Raw genomic sequence first — 27,266 nt, 5'->3', positions numbered from 1 at the left:
TTACTGACTGGGTGAAAGTATTTGCACAACACATATCTGAGAGAGAACTTTTATCCAAAGCACCTAAATATTTTTTACAATTCAGTAAGACAAACATATTGATTTTTAAATGGGCGAATTGTTATTATTTTTTCAGATGGAGTTTTGCTCTTGTTGCCCAGGCTGGAGTGCAATGGTGCGGTCTCAGCTCACTGCAATCTCTGCCTCCCAGGTTCAAGCAATTCTCCTGCCTCAGCCTCTTAAGTAGCTGGAATTACAGGCCCCTGCCACCATGCCTGGCAAATTTTTGTATTTTAAGTAGGCATGGGGTTTCACCATGTTGGCCAGGCTGGTCTCGAACTCCTGACCTCAGGTGATCCGCCTGCCTTGGCCTCCCAAAGTGCTAGGATTACAGGTGTGAGCCACCCCGCCCAGCCAAGAAATGGAAATTAAAATCACAATGAGATACCATTTACACTCACTATAATGGCTAGAATTAAAAAAAAGAGTGACAATATCAAGTGTTGGCCATGCTGCGGAATATCTGGAGCCCATGTATATTGCCACTGGGAATGTGGAAACAAATATTATGACCGCATTGGGTAAAAGTTGGGCAGTTTCTTTGGGAAATATGGAAGGTAGGCTTCAAGAGCTGGCCATTTAGGCCGGGAGCGGTTGCTTACGCCTATAATTCTAGTCGTTTGGGAGGGCAGAAGAGAGGACCCCTTTAGGCCAGGAGTTCAAGACCAGTCTGTGGAACATAGTGAGACCTGGTCTCTACAATTTTTTTTTTTTTTTTTAAATTAGCCAGGTGTGGTGGCAAGTGCCTGTAGTCCTAGCTACTTGGGAGGCTGAGGCAGATTCCTTGAGCCCAAGAGTTGAGGTTGCAGTGAGCTATGATCATGCCATTGCACTTCAGCCTGGGCAACAGGGTGAGACCCTATCTCTAAAAAAATAATTAAAAAAAGAGAGCTGGCCATTCACTTATTCTATTCAGAAAGCAAAAGAATGGCTTCTAAAGAGAAAATACAAGCCTAACACTTTGACAGAGAAGTGAGAGTTAAAAAGTGACCGGGCGCCGTGGCTCACGCCTGTAATCCCAGCACTTTAGGAGGCCGAGGTGGGCAGATCACGAGGTCAGGAGTTTGAGACCAACCTGACCATTATGGTGAAACCCTGTCTCTAATAAATAATACAACGACGAAAAATTAGCTGGGTGTGGTGGCGCACGCCTGTAGTCCCAGCTATTCGGGAGGCTGAGGCAGGAGAATCGCTGGAACCTCGGAGCTGGAGGTTGCAGTGGGCCGAGATCGTGCCACTGCACTCCAGCCTGGGTGAGAGCGAGACTCCATTAAAAAAAAAAAAAAGGCCGGGCGCTGTGGCTCACGTCTGAAATCAGCACTTTGGGAGGCCAAGGCAGGCGGATTGCCTGAGGTCAGGAGTTCGAGACGAGTCTGGCCAACATGGTGAAACCCCATCTCTACTAAAAATACAAAAAAATTAGCCGGGCGTGGCAGCGTGCTCCTGTAATCCCAGCTACTCAGGAGGCTGAAGCGGGAGAATCGCTTGAATCCGGGAGGCAGAAGTTGCAGTGAGTCGCCTGGGCGACAGAGCAAGACTCCGTCTCAAAAAACAAACACACAAGAAAAACTAAAAAAACCCAGCAAGCTACAGGAGTCGAGTGGTTCCGAAAGAGAATCAGAGGGCAAGAAAAGAAGACGGGGTGAAGAAGACAGGAAAAGGTGAAGGAGGCGGGCAAAGGTCACCTGGTGTAAACTTGGCTGCCCAGCTCTTTATGCACTCAGGGCAGCATGGGAGCCCTGTCGCCCCGCGCGCATCTACGGGCCTGGCAGCCGGGGACGCGGGGCAGGCGGGGAAAAGAGGGGTGCGCACCCCGCGGGCGCTGGCACCCCCCAGGTACCGCACACAGTAGTCCCTAGGAAGGAGGCTCACTTTGCGCGTTCTTGCCTCCTGGAGCAGGATGGGGGTGGGTGGAGCTGAGGCCGGGGCCTCCCCGCAGCTCTGGCCGCCGCCCCAGGCTTTCAGTAGCCTCCTCCCGCAGTCACTCATCTCCAGTAGTAGGAAAAAACGGAGGTCTTGATATGAAACTGGGGATGCAAGGAAGTACTTATATATCATGCAAATAGTCTTTCAGCACCATTGAAAAGTCTCAAGAATGTGGGTGAAAATCAGATTCACTCTGTCCACTTGAAAAAAATGAACTAACAGCCCTATAGACCAGTTTCACTTGGCCAGTATATTTTACCACCAATATAGGTCACTGTAAGCACTGCCAGCTAGTTTGAAAATAGGACTGGTGTGATTATCTGAAACTGATGTTGAATGGGTAAAGCCAAAAAAAAAAAAGATCTCTGGGCTTCAGCCCAGGAGTTGAAGATCAGCCTGGGCAACATAATGTGACCCCCATCTCTATCCAAAAGAAAAAAATAATTGCCGGGCATGTGGTTCCAGCTACTTGGGAGGCTGAGGTGGGAGGATCGCTTGAGTTTGGGAGGTGGAGGCTGCAGTGAGCTGTTACAGTGCCACTGACCTTCAGCCTTGGCAACAGAGGGAGACCCTGTCGCAGGAAAAAAGAAAAGAAAGAAAACAAAGGAAAGGAAAGGAAAACAAAGGAAAGGAAAGGAAAGGGAAAGGGAAGAAAAGGAAAAGAAAAAGAAAAGAAAAGAGAAAAATCCCTGTTTGGGATTTAGGCTACACTTAGGTAATAAGGATTAATTTAAAAAGCTAATATTCTGATCTTTATCAAACGGAAATTGTTCTTCTTTTCTACGTCTATATCGTGCCAGAAATATATTAATGTGTATTTTTTAAAGGTGATCTAAAGGAATGGTTAAATTCTGTTTCATGAATCATCAAAACTATTTGTTTTTACTTTAGAATTGATGCATTGCAGTTGTTTAGGAAATCATGCACACCCTGGATATGATATTTGTTAACGAGAAATACCTTGTATTCTGAACACACTGGAAATTGTTTCCTATGGCTGAGCATACCAATACTATACAATTTTATGGTGATGTTATTAGCATTGCTATTATGGCTCTGACTCGTAGAATCTTTCTTATCTGCAGTTTTGATTTGGATGTGCCAAGTCTGTTCAAAGGCTAATTAGAACTTCGTGTGCCTAGATGGATGAGTTAAAGAAAATTTCTAGCCTGTTTATTAGTACCACAGTTTATAAGCAACATTACAGGCCTTCCGTTTCATCATAGCTTTTCAATCTGCTGTACAAACATAAGACTCCGTTACTGTTAGCCTTTACCCTTTTGCTCAATGCGATGTCTGCTGCTTCTGTATACAGGCTCAAGTAATTCCCATTATGCCATGCCCTGTGTGCACCTTCTGGAAGTTAGCCCACGGACATCTAAGATCTGGGATATTTCCAAATCTGGTTGTGGAAGGGCTTGGAAATCTATAACCGCAACTAGGTGGAGGACACCTGTTTCAGCAGGAGGTTATAAAATATGAAGCGAAACTAGGAAGAGGGAGTTGTGATCACGGTTCCAAGGGCTCCACACAGATCCTGGAGTTAAGGGGCACTCAGGTCTCCATTTCGTGACCCCTGGCCCTACCTCTCCTAGATCCAGGTATTTAGTAACCCAGGCTTGAGATCTCAAACCCCATCCCCCAATGCCAAACTCCCTTGTCCCAGCTGGGAGGCCCCCAGGGCATTTCTGAACATGGCCATCTCCAATTCACAGAAATCTGTGTGTTGTTGCAAATAAAGGATGACAAGAGACCACAGCCTACGAATGCGAGCAGCGTCAAGTCAGCAACAATCTTCCAGTTATCGAGAAGTCGGAAACGTCTGATTCTTTCTTCTCCACATTTACTAAGACGTATCTTCTCACCTTCCTGCCCTCCACGTTAAGAGGGGCTAACTATTCCGAAAGACTTCCGTGCCCTCTTCCTTTTCAATTTTTCCACTTCCAAACTCCTACCGAAAGACGAAGAAAAGAGACCACAGAAGAAGATACAAAGAAGTTTCTTAAAACACCTTCTTTTCTAGGTTCTCAAGGCGTCCCCTTTAAGGAACCAGGCCCACCTCTTTCCCATTCACCTACTGGCTTTCCTTCCTGTCCGTCACTCTACCTTTAAGAATATTTCCTGTTTCTTCAACCCAACTTGCACACCTCCGCCCCCCGGCCCTCCTCATTGGGCCGCCCGATCCCCGTTCACTCCTTGGTTTCCTCTCCGCCTCCTCCCGCCCTCTAGCGTAGTGCAACGGCATTCTGTCTTCTTATTGGCTACCACGGCAGCGTTCCCGCAGCCTGATTGGCGGGTTGAGTGAAAGAGGCGGGAACGCGGCGCGCCCAGGGTAGGCTGTTCGCTTGCTGAGCTGCGGCCGCGGGAGGGGCGGGGAGGGGCGGGGGGAGGGGGGCTGGGAAAGTTGAGGCCGCGCTGCCGCCGGGTCTCCGGCCTTGAGGGCTCGGGCTCGCAGCGGCTGCGGTGGCCGCAAAAAGAGGCGGCGGGGGCGGGGGGAGAGGAGGGCCTGGGCCCGCGCTCCCCCAGCCCCGGAGGAGCAGGCGGTGGCCGCGGACGGAGAGATTCGCCCAGACGGTCAGACACTCCTGCCTTCCCCTCCTGGGATCATGACCCAGGCGGGGGTCGCCGCCGTCGCCGCCGCCACCGCGGCCGAGACCGCGCAGCCGGCGGGTAAGTGACTGCGGGAGGGGGCCGCTGACAGCCGGGGCGGGGGGCGGGGGCCAGGGCTGCGGGGGCGGCTCCGGAGGGCGGCCCCGGGCTCAGCTCCACCCACCCCCTTCCTGCTCCGGGAGGCCAGGGCTGCGCTAAGTGCGCCTCCTTCCTGGGGACCCTTGCGTGCGGCACCTGGTGGGGCGTCAGCGCCCGCGGCGAGCGCACCCCTCATCTCCCGCCCGCCCTGCGTCCCCGGCTGCCAGGCCCGTGGGGGGCTCGCACTGCGCCCCAGCTCCTAGATGCGCGCGGGGCGAGAGGGGCCCCACGCTGCCCTGGGTGCATAAAGAGCTGGGCAGCCAGGTTCACACCAGATGGCCTTTGCCCGCCTCCTTCACCTTTTCCTGTCTTCTTCATTCCCCTTCTTTCCTTGCCCTCTGAATTTCTTTCGTACCCGTTCGTCAGACTCATGTGGCTTGCTTTTTCCCTCTCACCCCTCTGTCGAAGTGTTAGGCTTGTGTTTTCTTTTTAGAAGCCGTTCTTTTGCTTTCTGAGTAGAAGCAGTGCAAGTGAATGACCAACTCTTGAAATCTACTTTCATGTATCCGGATGAAATATAAGATTCCTGGACTCTTGTTCATGTTTACAATTTTGATAGTTGAATTCACCCCACTCGTTCTTGAAGCTTGTCCTCCCAACCCTCCTCGTTACATTGGGATATGGTCCTTTGCGTTTATTAACTTTATCTGGAAATATGAGACTGCATAAACCAAAGTGCAGAATTTCAACTTCCGTTCTTGTAACATTTTTACCATCAAGTAGATACAGTAACCTAACACCACACAGATCAAGACAGTCGTGGCCAACTGTGTAGGCAAAGAAGACATTTCCTTACCTATAAACAACGTACAGATTTCTTGAATAAATCTTACGGTGAGTTACATGGATCCTGAAACATATTCCCAGGTTTGCTCTTTTGTAAAGAAAACCAAACAGACAAACCTGCCTTTTGAAGGATCAACAGGCTGTCCTACTCTCCATTCACCTTGATGACTTTTTTCTCTCCCATAGAACTCTTGTTTAACATAGTACAGAGTTGCTGTTTGGGATACATGTGTTGTTTCTCTTTAAGTACTCAAAGTATTTGTTACAAAAGAAGTAAAATACATTGTAATTGCACTTCTGAAAGCAGAAGTAGTGTAATGTATCCATGCAAGAATGAATGCTTAATCCTAAAGCAGTTTTGCTTTAGCCTAAGCCAAGCTTTTCCAACCCCCGTCCAAGGACGGCTTTTAATGCGGCCCAAGACAAGAAGACAAGTTCGTAAACTTTCTTTTATTTTTTTTGAGACAGAGTCTCACTCTGTCGCCCAGGCTGGAATGCAGTGGTGTTATCTCAGTTCACTGCAACCTCCGCCTCCTGGGTTCAAGCAATTCTCCTGCATCAGCCTCCTGAGTAGCTGGGATTACAGGTGCATGCCACCAGCCCAGCTAATTTTTATTTCTTTAAGTAGAGACAGGGTTTCTCCATGTTGGCCAGGCTGGTCTTGCACTCCTGACCTCAGGTGATCCGCCTGCCTCTGTTTCCGAAAGTGCTGGGATTACAGGCATGAGCCGCTGCGCCCGGCCTCAAATTTGTAAACTTTTTAAAACATTATGAGATGTTTGTGTGTGATATTTATTTACTTATTTATTTAAGCTCATCAGCTATCGTTAGTGTTAGTGTATTTGATGGGTGGCCCAAGACATTTCTTCTTCCTGTGTGCCCCAGGGAGGTCAAAAGATTGGACACTCCTGGTCTAAGCTAAAAGACTTAGGTGTACATAGGTATTGGGATCTCCCTGTATTTAGGAGTTTTGCAAAATCTGGATGCAGCCTAGAACATTCGCTGATATAAAAGGAGTGCATTGCAGGGATGTAAGAGCAGCTTAGAATTGAAGTACTTATCTTCTAGGTTAGTCGTCTATGGAACATCGTGGAAGTAAAATTCTAAGGTTGTAGACCTTACACTCAATGAACCAGTCATGTATGAGAAATTGATGGGTACTTTTCCTATTTTCAGAGCTTAGCCTTGTCAACAAGGGAAAAGAAACACTAAGAAAACTGAGAATTTTTAACTCAGGTTAGAATACAAGCTTCAACAGGTAATCAGCTCAAGTTTGTTGCTTATAAACAGGGTCTTAAATCAAGCTTGAGCCTTAATCATATCTGTCATGCTTTACCTCTCTGTTCTCTAGTCCAGTAGTTCTCAATCCAGACTGTACATGAGCATCACCTTGTGTGTCTTTAAGTTTTAATGCCCAGGCCACTTCCCTCAGAAACTCTCTTATTTTTGATCTGGAGTAAAGCTCTGCCATGGGCATATTTTTTAAAGCTCTCCAGGTGATTCTGTTCAGTAGCCCTGGCTGAGAACTCCCATGAGACTACGTCCAAAAGCTAAGCTTGTGTTCTGGGCTTTCCTAAATCAGGCCTCACTCATGTGTCCAACTTTCCCCCCACTGCTTTTGCTACAGACGTTGACGTTGACCTTTCTCAGGATATGGACACCTTTCCTCTATTCCTCCCTACCGCCAATAATAGTTCTAATTACACTTTTATGAAAGTTTTCTGGATAGCTTACTCTAGTTCTTAGTGATCGACCCCCTTTGAACTTCTATGCTACATGGTTAAAAGATTCTCTTTAGGCTTACGGTATGTGGCAGTTTAAGTTCTATGTGTATGTGTTTCATTGTTCTCAAATGTTATGCTAAGGAATATTTTATTTTTCATCTCTTTCACAGTGGTTTTAAGTTGGATTGGTTTGGTTTGGAACCCTTCTGACTCTTCCTGCAACCATAGTTTTAGGTTTGATTTCATCTTAGGTATGTTAGTAGCTTCATCATACCTTAACTAGCATTGAATTCCTGTATAGACATCCGTTTTTTTCATATCTTTTCTTAATTTCATTAGTAGATGATTTATCTTCCGTGGCCCCGTAACAGTTGTACTTGTTTCTGTGCTAGCACTTAGCACACTGCCATAAGTATGTGTTTATATGCCTTCCCCACCATACTGCTAACCAGGGCCTCCATGTTGAGCAACTCCAGGGGGTACCATTCACATATTCTTGAATACCATTGCAACATGGCAGAAATAGAACTCCACTAACATAGGAAATGTGTTCTTTTTATCTTTGTATTTTTGGGACCTAACATTGTATTTGTGATTACTAGGCAGTTAATAAATGTTCTTAAATGAGTAAATGACTGCCATGTTATATATTATAAAAAGATAGCCATATACATCTTGAACGTAAGTTGATTTGGCATTAATTGATTTTGCTATTAAATATTTTTATGTCCTATACTCCTATTATAGATTTGTTAAAGGTTAGTAGAATCTAAGTGATTGTAGTTGTGACAGACCCCTTAAATATGTAATCTTCCTTCCAGTATGCACAGGCATATATGTGTCCTGAGTCTTTTACTCTGTGCTGTAAAGGTATACATTTATTATTCATAAAATATTTGTGGAACTCTTGCTAAAAGAAACGTGGTTAACTGTCCAATTGGATAATTTTTCTTTTTCTCATTAAAATTTCCATATGGGGACAATTGCACTACTTCAGAAGGCCAGATCTTTTAATTAGATCAGTAGGACATGATAAGTTGTTTCTATTAGTGTGCTAATACTGTGTTTTTAATTCAGTTCACCAAGTATTTATTATTTACCATGTGCCCAACACTGTTAGGTACTGAAGAGAATACAGAAATAGTAAATGGTGGACTCAGCTCATAAGAACGTTTTAGACTTATTAGGATTGTTTAAGGAACTCAATGGAGTATTCATTAGATGCTAAATTAAACATAAGTATGTAAAATCTATGACATAATGATTAATACAAAAAAAAGGAAAGACCAGATATTCTTTCAGCAGACATTTATTACTCAGTTACTGAGTGCTAATTGTTGAGGATACAAACATGAAATTTTTTTTCATGTTTGTATTCTCAGTAATATGAATAATATGAATTTTTTACATATTTGTATTCTCAATAATTAGCACTCAGTAATGGAGTAATAAGTTTCTACCATTTATTATAGTCTGGTGGTGAAAACTAGTAAGTATATAGATTGTATTTCATGTTAAGACATTGTGGAGTATTAGGATGTTTGGGAGTATGAAGAAGGGTATTTAGTCTAACCTCTAAGGCAGGGGTCCCCAAGTGGCCTGTTAGGAATCAGGCCGCACAGCAGGAGATGAGCTACCCTCCTGTCAGATCAGCGGCAGCATTAGATTATCATAGGAGTGCGAGCCCTATTCTGAACCACACATGCAAGGGATCTAGGTTGCATGTTCCTTATGATCATCTAATGCCTGAGATAGATGGAACAGTTTCATCCTGAAACCATCTGCTCCACTCCCTGTCCATGGAAAAATTGTCTTCCACGAAACCAGTCCCTGGTGCCAAAAAGGTTGGGACCACTGCTCTAGGGGTCAGAGAAATCTTTAAAGAGGATAATGAAGAGTTCTCAGGAATTCCTTAAACAGCAGAAACCAAAGAGAAGGAGATAAGGAGAAGAAATTGTAGTGTCACCGCTGTCTACCTCTGTGTCATTTGAGGGACCAGTTTCTCTTTGGTTATAAACAATAGAGATTGAATTTGGCTAAGCAGCAAATGGATACTGGATAAACTCACAGAAAGAAAGGGAGATAGAATAATGAAGGCTTGGGAAGGCCAGGAAAACAGAAGCTCCCAGGATCATAAGGATCCATGGGGCTAACTCAGCCTCAGCAAGATATTCTCCTTGTGCAGGGAGTCTTATTAGTTAGCCCCATGCCCACCCCAGAGGTGAGCCTGTGTTTGATGGTCCTATCAGATTTCAGGAATGGGACAGAGAAGATCTCCGAAGGAAAGGCAGGATATTATTGTCAGAAGGCCAAAACAACAGATTTATTACAAAGTTCATCGGATTTGGCAGTGTGGAAGTCTTTTGTTGAGCTTGGTTTAAGCAGTTTTAGGAATAAAAGTCAGGTAACAGCTGGTTGAAGAGTGAATAAGAAGTGAGGAAGAGGGGGTAGTAAGTGTAAACAACTTGTTCAAGAAGACTGGTGGTTGGGAGGAAGAATGGGGACACCTGTGGGGAGTTGCAAGGTCAGGAGAAAAATCAGTTTAGGTTTTTACATGGAAAAAGTTGAATAAGGATTTATTTTTATTTTTGTTGAGATGGGATCTCACTCTGTCTCCCAGGCTGGAGTGCAGTGGTGCGATCTTGGCTCACTGGAACCTTCGCCTCCTGGGCTCAAGCCATCCTCCTACCTCAGGCTCCTGATTAGCTGGGATTACAGGTTTGCAGCACCACACCTGGCTAATTTTTTGTATTTTTGGTAGAGATGGGGTTTTGCCTTGTTTCCCAGGCTGGTCTCAAACTCCTGAGCTCAAGTGAGCCACCTCCCTTGGCCTCTCAAAGTGCTGGGATTACAGGTGTGAGCCACCGTGCCTGGCCCTGAATAAGGATATTTTTAATGGAAAGGCACTAAGAGAGAAGGAGGGATTAATAATATATGAGAGAAAAGGGACATTATGTAAGAAGTTTACTAAGTAGCGAGAGTGATAGAGTCCAGAGTATAGGTAGAGGGTTTAGTTTTGCTAGAAATATTAGGGAAGATTTTATATAGGAGGATAGACTTGCACCGGACTTTAAAGGGTTGGTAGGATTTGGATAAACAGAGCAAAGTGGAAAGGTCATTTCAGTGGGAAAATAGCATGAATTTAGCATAAAGTGAAGTAGCTGATAAGGCGCACAGGGATAAACCTGTCTGAATTGAAGAGGAGGGAAGGGTAGATGGCATAATTAGCTAGAAAACCTGCTTTTATGTGTGTTGTACTAGGTGGAAGGGGGTAGGTGAGACCTGCCAGTGAAGAAGGTACAGTCATGAATGCCAAGACCTGGAGTTTGGATATGATGCAGTTGATTGTGGGAAATAGTACTGTAGAGTCTGCAGCAGGAGAGGACATGGTAAATATGGTGAACTGAAAAGACTGATGAGACATTGGGGTATAAAATCCATCAAATGGGAGAAAGGCTGAGGGCAATAACAAAGACTGCTTAAGGCCAGACGTGTAAAATGGGGCCTAATCTAAGGTGGTCATAACAAAGGGGAAGAGATGAACATTATGAAAACAATTGATAGAATTTGGTGAGAAGATATGAAGATTTTTGGGTCTAGATCCATGTTAAACTTTTGGTGTCATTGATAAAATGGAGAACTTGGAAATAGATCTCTTAAGAGAAAAGGGAATTTAACACATTCCAAACAGACTTGTTAATTTGTTCAAAATGCAGTGTTCTGAAGAGAGCTTTGCCTAACCAAAGATTAGGGGCAAAGTCAGAGTTGAAAGGTAGCTTTCTTACAAAAACATAAAAGCTTTTGCACAGAAGCAGTTTAAACCTTTGTAGGGAAAAAGCAAACCTGAAAAAGAGAAGAGATTGTTGGGCCTTGGAACTCAAAGGAGAAAGAAAAGCGTTCATGTTAGAGAAAGAGGATGCATAATTGGAGAGGAGAAAGATAACCTAGGAGAGAGAATTTCAAGAAAGAGAGAGATCAGCAGCCTCAAATCCTGCCAAGAGGAAAATGACCTATGATTGGTGAAAAATAGCCCCTGACCTCCAAGGAAGCAGCTTTGGTTGGCTGGAGCAGCCAGAAGGTTTAGGAGAGATTGGCCAAGTTGGAGAGGTGAGAAGTTTCACAGGAACATGAGGAGAGAAATAGACTTGTAGGCAGAAAAGGCAGTAAATTCTTGTTTAACATGAGGAAAATCCTTGCATTTTGGAAGGAGAGCTGGTTAAGAGAGAAAATAGTGCTAAAGTGGAAAAAATCAAATATAGTTTCCCTTTTCTCAGATCAAATAATTAACTTTAAGAAGTCCTGGAGGCCTGAAAGGATAGATTTATAGATTTATAGGATTTACGGTAAATGTAGAATCCAGTTAAGGAACTTGGACCAGATGACTTGACTTCTATCTTCTCAGTAAATTAAGGGGGAAATGGAAGAAAGTCAACTAACACGTATTGAGCACCTGCTATGTACCAGGCACTTTGCTAGATCGGTAAAATGTATCATCATGTAAACTTGTAACAGTCCTCTGAGGAGTTGGTGAAACTCTCCCAGTTTTAAATGTGAGGATGCTGAGACTCTAAAGGGTACTTATTTCAAAACCAGATAGCCAGTACCTGCCAGCTTTGAGATGTGATCCCAAGTCTGACATCAAAGGCTATTCCTATTTACTGTACAATTTCATTCATTGATGTGAGGTGAAAGGTACATGGGGGCTTGATAGCATCTGGTTTTTGTTTGTTTGTTTGTTTGTTTGTTTTTTTGAGATGGAGTCTCCCTCTGTTGCCCAGGCTTGAGTGCAGTGGCATGATCTCGGCTCACTGCAAGCTCCGCCTCCCAGGTTCATACCATTCTCCGGCCTCAGCCTCCCGAGTAGCTGGGACTACAGGCTCCCGCCACCACGCCCAGCTAATTTTCAGTAGAGACGGGGTTTCACCATGTTAACCAGGATGGTCTCAATCTCCTGACCTCGTGATCCACCCGCCTCAGCCTCCCAAAGTGCTGGGGTTACAGGCGTGAGCCACCGCGCCCAGCCAGCATCTGTATTAATGACCGCAGTGGCTGTGCTTTGGAATCATTTCAGGAGTTTTGAAAAATTCTTGCACACCACCTCAGTCACTCATTCCTTCATTCAACAAATACTTGTTGATTACCCACTATGTGCCTAGCATGATTCTAGGCACTTAGAATACATTGGTGAATGAAACACACTCAAATACCTGCCCTCAAGAACACTACATCCTATATACTGAACCAATCTCTGGAAACGAATTCTGGTAATTCTGATGAGTATTCAGTTTTCAGAACCACTGCTCTAGGAGTAATTGATGAGAGACAGACTAGGTTTGCTAAGTGTGAATTCAAAATGGGCCTTCTGGCCAGGTGCAGTGGCTCATGCCTATAATCCCAGCACTTAGGGAGGCCAAGGTGGGGGGATCACGAGGTCAGGAATTCGAGACCAGCCTGGCCAACATGGGGAAACCCCATCTCTACTAAAGATACAAAAAATTAGCCGGGTGTGGTGGCGAGTGCCTGTAATCCCAGCTACTAGGGAGGCTGAGGTAAGAGAATCACTTTAACCCGGGAGGTGGAGGTTGCACAGAGCCAAGATCGTGCCATTGCACTCCAGTTTGGGCGACAGGGTGAGACTCCGTCTCAAAAAAAAAAAAAAGAAAGTGGGGGCCTTCCCTGCAGATGGCACTCAGGGCCATTCAGTAACAGAGGAGAAAACATTACTGGTAGGTGATCATGTATCAAGGGACTAGCATAAGACCAAAGAGTTAAACTTTGAATTAGCTGACCCTGGAATCAGTTTTACAGTTATACTACAAAGCAAGCTTGTTAATGATTATAATAATATTTTACATTTGTATAAATTTAGCTATACTAGTTTCAGAAGACCATTGTTCATTCAATAAGCATTTGAGTTACACATTGTGCATGTATTGTGCTAAGCCCTTGGGATAAAAGGACGAAGTTGTTCCTGCCTTAAAGGACCTTGGATGTGTATGATGTCAGTTGATCCTTAAAAGAACTATGAGGAGTGGAGTTAGCATTCTGGAACCAATTTATATGGTTATTAGAGTTGAGGAAATTAGTAAAAGTAATTGTAGACATTGGGAGCCAGATTTCTCACTGTCAGAAAGATATTACAAATAAGCAGGGGGGAAGACTATACTGAGCCCTGTGGTGCTAGATTAGAATCAGAGATGTAAGTATAAACTCATGCTTATTTTAATATAAATACAGATAGATACAGAGGCAAATGTAGATCTGTGTCTGTACATGGGTTAATAGACATAGATTTATTTAATAGCTCTGTCTGCTGAGAAGGCTTGGAAGCAGTGACACCCCAGTAGCAATGAGGACAGGCAGCACCTGGATCTTGGTTTCTAAATTCCATTCTCCAATGAAAGGGACAAAAATTCCTTGGATGGAAAGCTGATTCTAAGAGTGGGGCAGGGGAAACACAAGATGAGCCTGGAGTATCTTGTAGTACCAAAAAGTAAGGAAGTACTAGAAAGGGGGTGTGTGTGTGTGTGTGTGTGTGTGTGTGTGTGTGTGACTGTGTGTGTAAAGGGCACAACAGCTAATCCAAAAGAGCACCCAATGGCCAATGTGTGGACAATTTGAACAACATATTAACTCTAGCATTGAATTGTGATCTGAAGAATGAAATAAATCTCCATGAGTCCATACTGATATAAGTAAATTATTGAATAAATAAATAGGGGAGAAGTGACAAATATTCCTTGCAGAATAATTCTAAATACATAATCCTTTTTCCAAGAGGTAGAGATTAACTCTTCTCGCTTTGCGTGTGGGCTAGACTTAGTATTCACTTCCAAAATATAAAGAACAAAAAGGGGAAAATAGTAATATAGAAATAAATACTTGAATAGTGTTAACAGGAAATTTGAGGAAAAGAGTACTTCTTTTCACAACTTCTTCGGTATGATCTGAGTAGATAAATACAAGCATATTTCATTTGTATAATGAAAAAAATCCAGTTAAGTAACAAAAAGAATAAGAAAATAGGAAAGTAAGAATTACTGTGATTATTGTTGAGAAGCTGGGAAAGATGTCATGTATAGATCACAAGCACTGAGGAAGGGATGAGGCAGAGCAAGATGGCTGAATAGAACCCTCCAGCAGTTGCCCCCATGCTGCAGAACTACTATCCACATAAGAACCAAATATCAGGTGGCCAGGCACAGTGCCTTCCACCTGTAATACTGGCATGTTGGGAGGTGGAGGTGGAGGATTGCTTGAGGCCAGGAGTTTGAGACCAGTTTGCTCAACATAGTGAGACCCTGTCTGTACAAAGAAAACAAAATCAGGTGAGTGATCACAGTACCTAGTTTTAGCATCATATCAAGGAAGGAGACACTGAAGATGGTAGGAAAGACAGCCTTGAATTGCCTACACCACCCTTCCCCCCTTCCCCAGCCATGCAGAGAGAATCGCTGTGCTTGGGGGAGGGAGAGCAAAGTGATTGTGCAACTTTGCATTGGAATTCAGTGTTGCTCTGTCACAGTGGAAAGCAACACAGGGCAGAATTCAGCTGATGCCCACAGAGGGAGCATTTAGACCAGCCCTTGCCAGAGGGGAATCTTCCATCCTATCAGTTGGAACATGAGTTCCAGCTAGCCCCACCACTGAGGGCTAAAGTGCTCTGGAGTTCTAAATGAACTTGAAAGGCCACAAGGCCTGCAATTCCTGTGCAAGTCCTAGTGCTGCACTGGGCTTGGAGCCACTGGACTTGGGGTGCACACGACCTAGTGAAATACTAGCTGGGGTGGCCAAAGGAGTGCTTGCATCACCACTCCTCCAACTCCAGACATCACAGCTTGCAGCTCCAGCAGAAGAGGGAAAAGTAAAGAGGATTTTTTTCTTGCAACTTGGATCCCAGCTCAGCTACAGTAAAATAAAGCCCCCATTCTAGACCATAGCTTCTGGATGACATTTCTAGACCCACCCTAGGCCAGAAGGGAACCCACTGCCCTAAAGAGAAGGGTACACTCCTAGCAGAATTCACCACCTGCTGACCAAAGAGCCATTGGGTTTTGAATAAACATCAGCAGTAGCCAGGCAGTAGTTGCCATGGGCCCTGGGCAAGAACCAAAACTGTGCTCATTTCAGGTGTGACCCAGCACAATTCTCATCTGTGGTGGCCATCAGGAGAGACTCCTGCTTGAGAAAAGGAGAGGGAAGAATAAAGAGGACTTTGTTTTATAACTCAGGTACCAGCTCAGCCACAATAAAATAAAGCACCAAGTAGACTCCTAAAGATTCCAGGCTTTGGCTCCTGGAGTGCATTTCTAGACCCCCCACTGGGCCAGAATGGAACCCACGACCCTGAAGGGAGAGACCCAGTCCTGGCAGGATTCATCATCTGCTGACTAAAGAGCCCCTGGGCTTGAATAAACATCAGTGATAGTCAGGAGATAGTTGCCACAGGCCTTGGGCGAAACCCAATACTGTGCTGGCTTCAGGTGTGTCCCAGCAGTCTCAGTGGGTTTATCCAAAGGAGCATTGCGTGACTCCATCCCCAACTCCGGGCAGCTCAGCATGAAGAAAGAGACTCCATTTGCTTGGGGGAAAATAAGGGAAGAGAACAAGAGACTCTGCTTGATACATTAGGGAATTCTGGATCTTACTCAAGACCGCTAAAGTGGTACCTCTGCAAAAGACACAGCATTACTGGACTTGGGAGTGCCCCCTAATGCACATATGGTTGCAGTGACCAAAGACTTAAGATTACAACACTTAATTCTTGTTGAATACTTAGAAAGCCTTCTCAAGAAGGATGGGTACAAACAAGCCAGACAAAACAAACTGGAATAAATTTCTAACTTTTCGGTGCACAGACATTGACAAACATCCACAAGCATCAGGGCCATCCAGGAAAACATGACCTCACTGAATGAACTAAATAAGACACCAGTGACCAATTCCAGAGTGGCAGAGATATGTGACTTTTGAGACAGAGAATTCAAAATAGCTGTTTTGAGGAAGCTTAACAAAATCCAAGATAACACAGAGAAAAAATTCAGAATCCTATCGATAAATTTAATGAAGAGATTAAAATAATTAAAAAGAATCAAGCAGAAATTCTGGAGCTGAAAAATTCAATAGACAAACTAAAGAATGCATCAGTCTCTCAACAGTAGAATGGATCAAGGAGAAGAAAGAATGAGCGAGCTTGAAGACAGGCTATATGAAAATACTCAGAGGAGGCAAAAGAAAAAAAATATGAAGCATGCCCACAGGATTTAGAAAATAGCTTCAAAAGGGGAAATCTAAGAGTTATTGGTCTTAAAGAGGAAGTGGAGAGAGAGATTGAGGTAGAAAGTTTATTCAAAGAGATAATATTGGAGAACTTTCCAAACCTAGAGAAAGATATCAGTATTCAAGTCCAAGGAGGTTATAGACGATCAAGAAAAATTAACTCAAAGAAGACTATCTCAAGACATGTAATAATCACACTCCCAAAGGTCAAGGATAAAAAAGGATCCTAAGAGCAGCAAGGAAAAGAAAAAAAATGAGATATAAAGCATTTCCAATATGTTTGGCCACAGATTTCTCAGTGGAAACCTTACAGACCAGGAGAGAGTCAGATGACATATTTAAAATGCTGAAAGAAAAAGACTTTTATCCTAGAATATTATATCCAGTGAAAATACACTTCAAATATCAAGAGGAAAAAAAGACTTTCCCAGACAAACAAAAGATGAGGTTTTTTGTCAACACCAGACCTGTCCTACAGAAATGCTGAAGGGAGTTCTTCAACTTGAAAGAAAAAGATGTTAACAAGTAATAAGAAATTGTCTGAAGGTACGTGGTAACAGTAAATACATAGACAAATACAGAATATTTTAACACTGTAATTCTAGTGTGTAAGATACTCATGTCTTGAATAGGAAGACTAAAAGACAAATCTATCAAAAATAATAACTACAACATTTTAAGACATAGTGTAATAAGATATAAGTAGAAACATCAGAAGGTTAAAAAGCAGGGGATGGGCTGGGCACGGTGGCTCACGCCTTTAATCCCAGCACTTTGGGAGGCCAAGGTGGGCAAATCACGAGGTCAAGAGATCAAGACCATCCTGGCCAACATGGTGAAACCTCATCTCTACTAAAAATATAAAAATCAGCTGGGCATGGTGGTGCGTGCCTGTAGTCCCGGCTACTTGGGCGGCTGAAGCAGGAGAATTGCTTGAATCCGGGAGGTGGAGGTTGCAGTGAGCTGAGATTGCACCACTGTACTCCAGCCTGGCGACAGAGCGAGACTCCATCTCAAAAAAAAAAAAAAAAAAAAAAAGCAGGGGATAAAATGTAAGTGTAGAGTTTTGTATTTGATGTAATAAAATGATTGAGATTTTCTGTTTACTCTTATGTTCATGAAGTAAACTATAGTTTTAAAAACTAGATAATAGTTTTTATAGATTAAAAACTAGATAATAGTTTTTATAGATTAAAAACTAGATAATAGTTTTTATAGATTAAAAACTAGATAATAGTTTTTATAGATTAAAAACTAGAGTTTTTATCAGTTTTCTCTTGGCTTGTTTGTTTTTACAATCAGAGTTAGATTGTCATTAGTTTAAAATAATGGGTTATAAGGTGTTATTTGCAAGCCTCATGGTAACCTCAGGTCAGAAAAATACAATAAATACGCAACATGTATAAAGCAAGAAATTAAAACGTACCACCAGAGAAAAACACTGACATGAGAAGGAAGAGAAGACCATAAAACAACCAGAAAACAAATAACAAAATGGTGGGAGTAAGTTTTTACCTATCAATAATAATATTGAATGTAAATGAGCTAAATGCTCCAATCCAAAGACATAGAGTGGCTGAATGGATTAAAAAGGAAAAAAAAAAAAAAAAGCCCAGCGATCTGTTGCCTACAACAAACACACTTCTCTTATGAAGACACACAGACACACATAGACTGAAAATAAGGGGATGGAAAAGATATAGCATACAAATGGAAACCAAAATAAAAGCAAGAGTAGTTATATCAAATAAAATAGATTTCAAGACAAAAACTATGAAAAAAGACAACATCATTATATAATTTTAAAGGGAACATTTCAGCAAGAGGATATAACAACTGTAAATATATATGCACCCAATAGAGGAACACCCAGATATATAAAGCAAATATTACTATATCAAAGAGAGATAGACCCCAATACAATAATAGTTGGAGACTTCAACACTTCACTTTCAGCATTGGACAGATTATTCAGACAGAAAATCAACAAACATTAGACTTATTTGCACTATTGACCAAATGGACTTAAGAGATATTTACAGAATATTTCATCCAACAGCTGCAGAATGTACATTTTTCTCCTCAGCACATGGATCATTCTCAAGGATAGATCCTATGTTAGGCCACAAAGCAAGTGGTGTTTTTTTTTTTTGTTTGTTTGTTTTTTGTTTTGTTTGCAAGACAGGGTCTCACTCTGTCTCCCAAGCTGAAGTGCGGTGGCACGATCATGGCTCACTGCAGCCTCAACTTCCCAGGCTCAAGTGATTCTCCCACCTCAGTCTCTGCAGTAGTTGGGACTACAGGCACATGCCACCTTATCTGGATAATTTTTTCTATTTTTTGTAGAGATAGGCTCTCACTATATTGCCTAGGCTGGTCTTGAACTCCTAGGCTCCAGCAGTCCTCCCACTTCTGCCTCCCAAAGTGATGGGATTACAGGTGTGAGCCACTGTGCCCAGACAAAGTCTTAAAACATTTTTAGCCGGGTTTCCCTGGTGGTTCATGCCTGTAATCCGAGGACTTTGGGAGGCCGAGGCGGGTGGATCACAAGGTCAAGAGTTCAAGACCAGCCTGGCCAACATGGTGAAACCCCGTCTCTACTAAAAATGCAAAAAAATTAGCCAGGCGTGGTGGCAGGTACCTGTAATCCCAGCTACTCGGGAGGCTGAGGGAGAGAATTGCTTGAACCTGGGAGGTGGAGGTTGCAGTGAGCCAAGATCACACCACTGCACTCCAGCCTGGGTGACAGAGTGAGACTCCATCTCAAAAAAAAAAAAATTTTTTTTTTAAATTGAAATAATATTGCTGGGTGTGGTGGCTCATGCCTAATCCCAGCACTTTGGGAGGCCGAAGCAGGCGGATCACCTGAGGTCAGGAGCTTGAGACCAGCCTGGCCAACATGGTGAAACCCCGTCTCTACTAAAAATACAAAAAAAAAAAAAAAAAAATTAGCCAGTCGTGGTGGTGAAATAATATCAAGTATCTTCTCTGATCACAGTGGAATAAAACTATAATCAATAATAAGAGAAACTTTGGAAACTATGTGAATACAGGGAAATTAAACAATATGCTCCTGAGTGACTAGTGGGTCAATGAACAAATTAAGAAGGAAATTAAAAAATTTCTTAAATGAAAATGGAAACACAGCATACAAAACACTATGGGATATAGCAAAAGTGGTAATAAGAGGAAAGCACCCACATCAAAAAAGTAGAAAAACTTCAGGCTGGGCATGGTGGCTCATACCTTTAATCCCAGCGCTTTGGGAGGTTGAGGCGGGCAGATCACCTGGGGTCAGGAGTTCAAGACCAGCCTGGCCAACATGGTGAAACCCCATCTCTACTAAAAACTACAAAAATTAGCCAGGCGTGCTGGTGGGTACCTGTAATCCCAGTTACTCGGGAGGCTGAGGTAGGGAGAATTGCTTGAACCTGCAAGGTGCAGGTTGCAGTGAGCCGAGATCACACCACTGCACTCTAGCCTGGGTGACAGAGTGAGAGTCTATCTCAAAAATAAAAATAAAAAGTAGAAAAACTTCAAATAAAGAACCTAACAGTACATCTTAAGAAACTAGAAAAGCAGTATCAAACCAAACTCAAAATTAGTGGAAGAGATTAAGTAAAGATCAGAGAAGAAATAAATGAAATTGAAATGAAAACAAAAACAAAATAGATTGACGAAACAAAACTTTTTTTTTTTTTTTTGGAGACAGTATCTCATTCTGTCACTCACGCTGGAGTGGCGTGTGATCTTGGCTCACTGCAACCTCCATCTCCCGGGTTCAAGTGATTCTCCTGCCTCAGCCTTAAATTACAGGCATGTGCCACCACACCCGGTGAATTTTTATAGTTTTAGTATAGGCAGGGTTTTGCCATGTTGGCCAGGCTGGTCTTAAACTCCTCACCTCAAGTGATATGCCTCCCTTGGCCTCCCAAAGTGCTGGGATTACAAGCGTGAGCCACTGTGCCTGGCCAAAAAGTTTGTTTTTTGAAAAGATAAACAAAATCAACAAACCGAGACATAAAGAGGAGACCCAAATAAAATAAAAAATGAAAAAGTAGACAGTACATTGGATACCACAGAAATTCAAAGGATCATTACAGACTACTATAAGCAACTATATGCCAATAAATTGGAAAACCTAGAAGAAATAAATTCCTAGACACATACAACCTACCAAAATTGAACCATGAAGAAGTCCAAAACCTAAGTAGACCAATAACAAGTAATGATATCAAAGTCATAATTAAAAGTCTCCCAGCAAAGAAAAGCCCAGGACCCAATAGCTTCACTGCTGAATTCTACCAAACATCTAAAGAAGAACTAATACCAGTCCTGTTAAGAAAAATAGAGGAGGAGGGAATACTTCGAATTCATTCTGTGAAGCCAATGTTACCCTGATACCAAACCAAACAAAGACACATCAAAAAAAAAAAAAAAAAAAAAAAAGAAAACTACAGGCCAATATCTGTGGTGAACATTGATGCACGTTTGATCCTCTACTGCACTCCAGCCTGGGCAAAAAGAGCGAAACTCTGTCTCAAAAAAAAAAAGAAAAACATAAACTCTGTTACAAATTCACATGCAGTTGTATATTTATACTCAGCAATAAAAATGAACAAACTACTAGATGAATTTCAGAAACATTATGCTTAGTAAAAGCTTTACACAAAAGAATTCCCAATCAATACATTTATATGAAGTTCTATGGTGAAAAAATTTAGGATAGGGTTTGCTTCTGGAGTAGGGGAAGGGATTGACTTGAAAGGGTCATGAAAGAACTTTCTGAGGCTGGGCGTGGTGGCTTATGCCTGTAATCCCAGCACTTTGGGAGGCCAAGATGGGTGGGTCGCTTGAGGTCAGGAGTTTGAGACCAGGCTGGCCAACATGGTGAAACCCCGTCTCTACTAAAAATACAAAAATTAGCTGGGTATGGTGCCAGGTGCCTGTAATCCTAGCTACTAGGTAGGCTGAAGCAGAAGAATTGCTTGAACCCAGGAGGCAGAGGTTGCAGTGAACTGAGATTGTGCCACTGTACTCCAGGCTGGGTGACACAGCGAGACTCTGTCTCAAAAAAAAAAAAAAAAAAAAGAACTTTCTCTGTTGATAATGTTCTGTACCTTGATGGGGTTGGGTCATACAGTTGTGTGCATTCGTCAAAACCCATTGAATATTATACGTAAGATTTATGCAATTTATTATATGTAAGGTTTATCTCAAGGAAAAAAGTTTTGAAAACTGTGATTTTGATGCAGGTGATCTGAGCACCACACTTGAAAACTACTGGGTTTGAGTAACTTCAGGAATAGTTCTTCCATAAAAGCATAATAATTCAGAGATTACTAATGTAATCCTTTGGCATTCAAAAACTAAGGGAGCCAAAATATTAATGGAGCCAGGTGCAGTGGCTCCAAGCACTTTGGAAGACTGCGGCGGGAGGATCGCTTGAGGCCAGGAGTTGGAGAGAGAGAGAGAGAGAGAGAGAGAGAGAGACACCAGCCTGGACAGCATAGTGAGATCCCATCTCTAAGACAGAGAGACCAGCCTGGACACCATAGTGAGATCCCATCTCTACAAAAAATTAGCCGGGAATAGTGGTGTGTGCCTGTATTCCTAGCTGCTTAGGAGGCTGAGGTGGGAGGATCACCAGAGTTTGAGAGCCAGAAGTTTGAGGCTGCAGTGAGCTGTGATCACACCACTGCACACCAGCCTGGATGACAAAGCAAAATCCTGTCTCTAAAAACATTTTTAAAAATTAAAAAAAATTTTTAATGACACTTTAAATATTTTAAGGCATATATTTGTAGTTATGTAAATATTAAAAATGTAATTTCTTTATTAATAAGCTAATTATTAAGTGGACAGGGATTTATGAAAATATTGTATAGTTCCTTTCCAATAGATGCTCTTTTTTTTTAGCATCAGGAATGCAATTTTAGTAGCATGAAAATTGTACCTATAAATAATTTTACATTGAGATGGATATTCATAATGGCATTTGGTAAACGGGATGATTTTGATTTACAGTTGTCTTCCTCTTTCAGTTAAATTCCTGGCTTTCACCTGAGTGCAGAGAATGTTTACTTATGTGATAGACCCTTAGTGTCATTGACTTCAAGATTTTAGATATTGGTTATTATGGACTGAGCCCAGAAAAAAAAAATACTCTAGATGTTTAGACAACTAGAACTTTTACTTTATATACCTTAATTATATGTGAAATTATCTGCAGACTTTCAAAAGGGCTGCAGGGGAAAGGCTGGAACTAGGGTATTGGTCAGATGCTTGAACTTTCACCAGTTAAAGGTAACTGCCTGTGTTTCCAGCTTTTTCCTATCAGAATCACCTGGGGCACTTATTAAAATTCAGATCCCTCTCTTGAAGTTTCTAAAACTTTTTCTGTACCTAAAAAACCAAAAACAAAAAAGAAAGAGAGAAAGGAAGGGAGCGAGGGAGGAAGGGAGGGAGAAGGGAAGGGAAGGAGGGGGAGAGTAAGGGAGGGGAGGGGAGGGGAGGGGAGAAGATCACCCAAGGAGGTTGTTGAAAGTGCAAATTCCTGGGCCCTACCCAGACCTCTCATTTGTCATGTTTGGAATGAAGCCCCCAAATTTACATTTTTAAAGAACACATGCAATGCAAAGGTCTGAGGGCTGTCTTCCTAGTGCCTTAGGGGAAGGTCCTTATGTAAGTTTTCAGGCACTCTTAAAAGAGAGAAGTAGGAGGTAGGAAATTGAAGGAAAGATAATTTTAGAATTGAGGACAGAAGTTAGGGTAAGACCCAAGTGGAGGACTTTGAGTAACCAGCAGCTAGTGAGGACCTAAGGTACAATGAGCATGCATAAGAGAAAACAGAGAATCCCCTCTTGGGGACCATCCGTTGGCTGTAAGACTACCATCTTTGTCGGGATGGAGCATCGGTAACCAATAGGAAAGTGACTTTTGAGAGCAACTGCATTGATTTGCTTTCAAGTGTGGGGAGAATTCAGGATCATCCTTCGTGGCACTAAAAATCTGCTTGCATGCCATAGGTTGTCAGCCCTTGCCTTACGCGGTGCTAATGGACACCTAGCAACTATAAACATTCATTGATTTTTCTCTTGTGTAGTAAGAAGAAAGCATAACCCATAGACCATCTTCTGGCAGAAGATGATACATTTGGATCAGAAACGGGAGGCATTGGAAGCCAGGAATCAAAAGTGAAGAAACTCTGCAAGCCCTTAGGTGAGAAGGTCACAGGGATTATTCATTTACTTATTTAATTACATGTTCCCCACCATCACCATATGTTTACCTAATGTGAGCTCATTGCTTTTAGGCTGATAGGTACTTCACAAATGGTAGGGAAAAGGTGGAATAGGAATAAGCTGCTGGACATGGGTCTTGATGACACATTTCTCGACAGGCTGCTTCAGTCAGTGCTTTCTGTCATCCCCTTCCTGCATTCATGTCTACTTATTTCCCAGGACCCTTCTCCCTCCTCCCTAGGGCTAAAGTTAACCTGAAATATCTCACTAACATTTAAAGCTAACATTTATTAAATCCTTATTACTACTAGGTAACGTGGTCTTGTGCTGTACCCGCAAAATTTCATTCCCTGCTCGGAACAATCCAATAATGTAATACTGTTATTATGATTCACGGTGTAGATGAAGCATCTGAGATTCTGAGGGTCATGTAACTTGCCCAAGACCTGACAGCTAGGAAGTGGCAGAAACAGATTTTAAACTCATGCTTTCTGACTTCAGACTTCATACTTGCTACTTTTTCTCTCTCTCGGAGAAAAAAATGGGAAACCACACTTGCACCTCCTCCAGTGTACCACAGCAGGTATCCCAACTTGGTAGACTCATTTTGAAAGGTTGTTGATATAGTTAGGCTGTGTCCCCATCCAAATCTCATCTTGAATTATGGTTCCCATAATCCCATGTGTCATGGGAGGGGCCCAAGTGGGAGGTAATTGAATCATGGGGGCCGTTACCCTCATGCTGTTCTTGTGATAGTGAGTGAGTTCTCATGAGATGATGGTTTTATAAGGGGCTTTCCTCACTTTGCTCACCACTTCTCCTTCCTGCCGCCATGTAAAGGATATGTTTGCTTCCCCTTCCACCATGATTGTAAGTTTCCTGAGGCCTCCCCAGCCCTGCAGAACTGTGAGTCAGTGAAACTTCTTTCCTTTGTAAATTACCTAGTCTTGAGCATTTCTTCATAGCAGCGTGACAATGGACTAACACAGTAAATTGGTACTGGGAGTGGGGCACTGCTATAAGGATACCTGAAAATGTGAAAGCAACTTTGGAACTGGGTAACAGGCAGAGGTTGGAACAGTTTGGAGGGCTCAGATTAGAAGACAGGAAAATGTGGGAAAGTTTGGAACTTTGTAGAGACTTGGAGGACTCAGAAGAAGACAGGCAGATGTGAGAAAGTTTGGAACTTCCTGGAGACTTGTTGAATGATTTTGACCAAAATGCTGATAGTGATGTGGACAATGAAGTCCAGGCTGAGGTGGTCTCCGATGGAGATTAGGAACTTCTTGAAGACTAGAGCAAAGGTGACTCTTGCTATGCTTTAGTGAAGAGACTGGAAGCATTTTGCCCTGCCCTAGAGCTGTGGAACTTTGAACTTGAGAGAGAGAATTTAGGTTATCCGGTGGAAGAAATTTCTAAGCAGCAAAATGTTCAAGAGGTGACAGAGCACCATGATTGTAAGTTTCCAGAGGCATTCTCCAGCACTGTGGAGCTGTGACTCAATTAAACCTCTTTCCTTTAAAAATTACCCAGTCTCATGTATTTCTTTATAGCAGCATGAGAACGGACTAATACAGTTGTCAATCTCTGGGATATAAAAGCATCACAGCTTTCATTATGAAATTTTTGAAAGTCAGAGAAGAGAATGAAATCACCAAAATATCACTACCCTTACTTAACTATGATTAATATATTAATGTATTTGCTTTCTGGCCTTTTCCATATATGTATATATTTTCCAATAGTGCATGTATTATTTAGTAGCCTGATAATTGAAATATATATAGAATTTTCATACCCAGATTTTAATGACAGTCAAATGATAATATGAGACTTCTAGCAGTTTGAAGTTAATGCCCAACAAATGAGTGAGTGAATGAATGCTTGCTTTCATGTATGGAATATTACATGTTTGTGCTCTTGTCACATTTGTTTTTTTTGTGTTCAGAGTAGGGAACCATTGTTTTAGTTTAAATTCTGTATAACACTTCACATGAACAAATAGCATACTCTCCCAACTCAACTATGCTCTACCTATCTTTCCAGCTCTTGCTCAAATTCACATCCCCTTTAAGCTTTTCTTGATTTCCAAGCCTGCAGTGATCTTTTTCTACTCAAATTTTCTCAAGCAGTTTCTGGCTATACCTCACATTTGATATTCACCATTTTCTACATTTGCTAATTATAGTACTTTTATGCTATTTTCTTATACTTCTTTCTATCTGCAACACCTAATCCAATGCTTTTCAATGTCAATTTTATTTTTTAGCATTTTAATATTCAAATCAAATTGCTATTGACCAATTTTTGTAAGATTCTAGAATGACTAAGCTTTCTGGTGTGTCTTTCTATCCTTCTGTAGGTTCCTATTACTGTAACCATGCCAGAAATGACAGAGAATGAGACGCCTACAAAAAAGCAGCACAGGTATGTATCCACAGCCCCAATATAATATGCTTTGGGCAGATAAGAAGCAGAATTAGTTCCTATTTTGCTACATAGGTAGTCCTTAGAGAACTTTTATTTAGATACCGAGGAAATTATTACTCTCCAAAAATATTTGTAGATAAATACAGATTTACTGAAAAAGGTATATGGTTAAAAATTATCTGTCCTGGCCGGGTGTGGTGGCTCACGCCTATAATCCCAGCACTTTGGGAGGCCGAGGCTGGTGGATCACCTGAGGTCAGGAGTTCAAGACCAGCCTGGCCAACATGATGAAACCCCATCTCTACTAAAAATACAAAAATTAGCTGGGTATGGTGGCATGTACCTGTAGTTCCAGCTACTCGGGAGGCTGAGGCAGGAGAATTGCTTGAACCTGGGAGGCAGAGGTTGCAGTGAGCCAAAATCATGCCACTGCACTCCAGCCTGGGTGACAGAGACTCCATCTCAAAGAAAAAAAAAAGAAAAAAAATTATCTGTTCTTATTCTACTAGCAATATAACAAGAATGACTGTCAGTAGTTAATATATTACCAAATCTATGTTAAATGTTTTGTTTGTAATGACATTTTCACTTGCCTATAGTATTAATTTTTGTATATCCTAAGTTGATTTAGGCTCTAGTCAGTGTGAATAGACATTCTGTGACATTATAATCCATTAATGCTAATATGCATATCAGAACAATGTTACTTCTGGTTCTTTGTATAACCTTTTTTTCTGAGTTTCTAGCACCTTTAGCAATGTTTCTGCTTAGAATTGCATGGCCAATGGTTCTACTAATATTAAAATCATGATTCTCTTTCCTTACCAAATAGCTATTAGAGAATGCTAATGTTTTGAGTAATTGTGTATAAAAAGGAAAGTCAATGCTTTTAGTAGATTGGCTCTCAAGAAAATTTAAGAGTTTGGACAACCTGAGGTACACAAATACAAGATAGCTCAGATGCCACTTGTCTGTACACGGGTGCTGTTGGCTGCCACATCTCCCTCCCTAGGGATTACAAAATTACTCTGCTGTTGCTTGTGTCTCCTGCACACGCACACCCGTACTG

At 42.3% G+C, this 27,266-nt stretch overlaps 1 protein-coding gene across 5 annotated transcripts in view, besides 2 other annotated features; it reads left to right on the top strand.

The window, feature by feature from the left end:
* Window positions 4,174-4,643: a silencer, noted in NCBI's record as "silent region_14609". NCBI's record gives its function as "represses an Ori minimal core promoter by ATAC-STARR-seq in GM12878 lymphoblastoid cells {active_cell/tissue: GM12878}" and the evidence as "EXISTENCE:reporter gene assay evidence [ECO:0000049][PMID:35858748]".
* The window catches only part of USF3 (upstream transcription factor family member 3), a 48,258-nt gene continuing 25,375 nt past the window's right edge, over window positions 4,384-27,266 (top strand). For 3 of the 5 annotated variants that reach the window (NR_111981.2, XM_005247208.5, NM_001009899.4), the window contains exons 1-3: window positions 4,384-4,656; window positions 23,629-23,744; window positions 26,130-26,194. Coding sequence is in view for 4 of the 5 variants with exons in the window: in NM_001009899.4 (NP_001009899.3) it covers window positions 26,148-26,194 (47 nt within the window). In the remaining variant the exon portion in view is untranslated. The remainder of the gene's footprint in view (window positions 4,657-23,628; window positions 23,745-26,129; window positions 26,195-27,266) is intronic. The other 2 variants (XM_017005872.2, XM_017005871.2) reach the window with 1 other exon arrangement.
* Window positions 4,664-5,053: a silencer, noted in NCBI's record as "silent region_14608". NCBI's record gives its function as "represses an Ori minimal core promoter by ATAC-STARR-seq in GM12878 lymphoblastoid cells {active_cell/tissue: GM12878}" and the evidence as "EXISTENCE:reporter gene assay evidence [ECO:0000049][PMID:35858748]".

This window comes from Homo sapiens, chromosome 3 (genome assembly GCF_000001405.40).
Source record: "Homo sapiens chromosome 3, GRCh38.p14 Primary Assembly".
Taxonomy (NCBI): Eukaryota; Metazoa; Chordata; class Mammalia; order Primates; family Hominidae; genus Homo; species Homo sapiens.
This window is presented reverse-complemented; position numbering and strand designations above follow the sequence as displayed.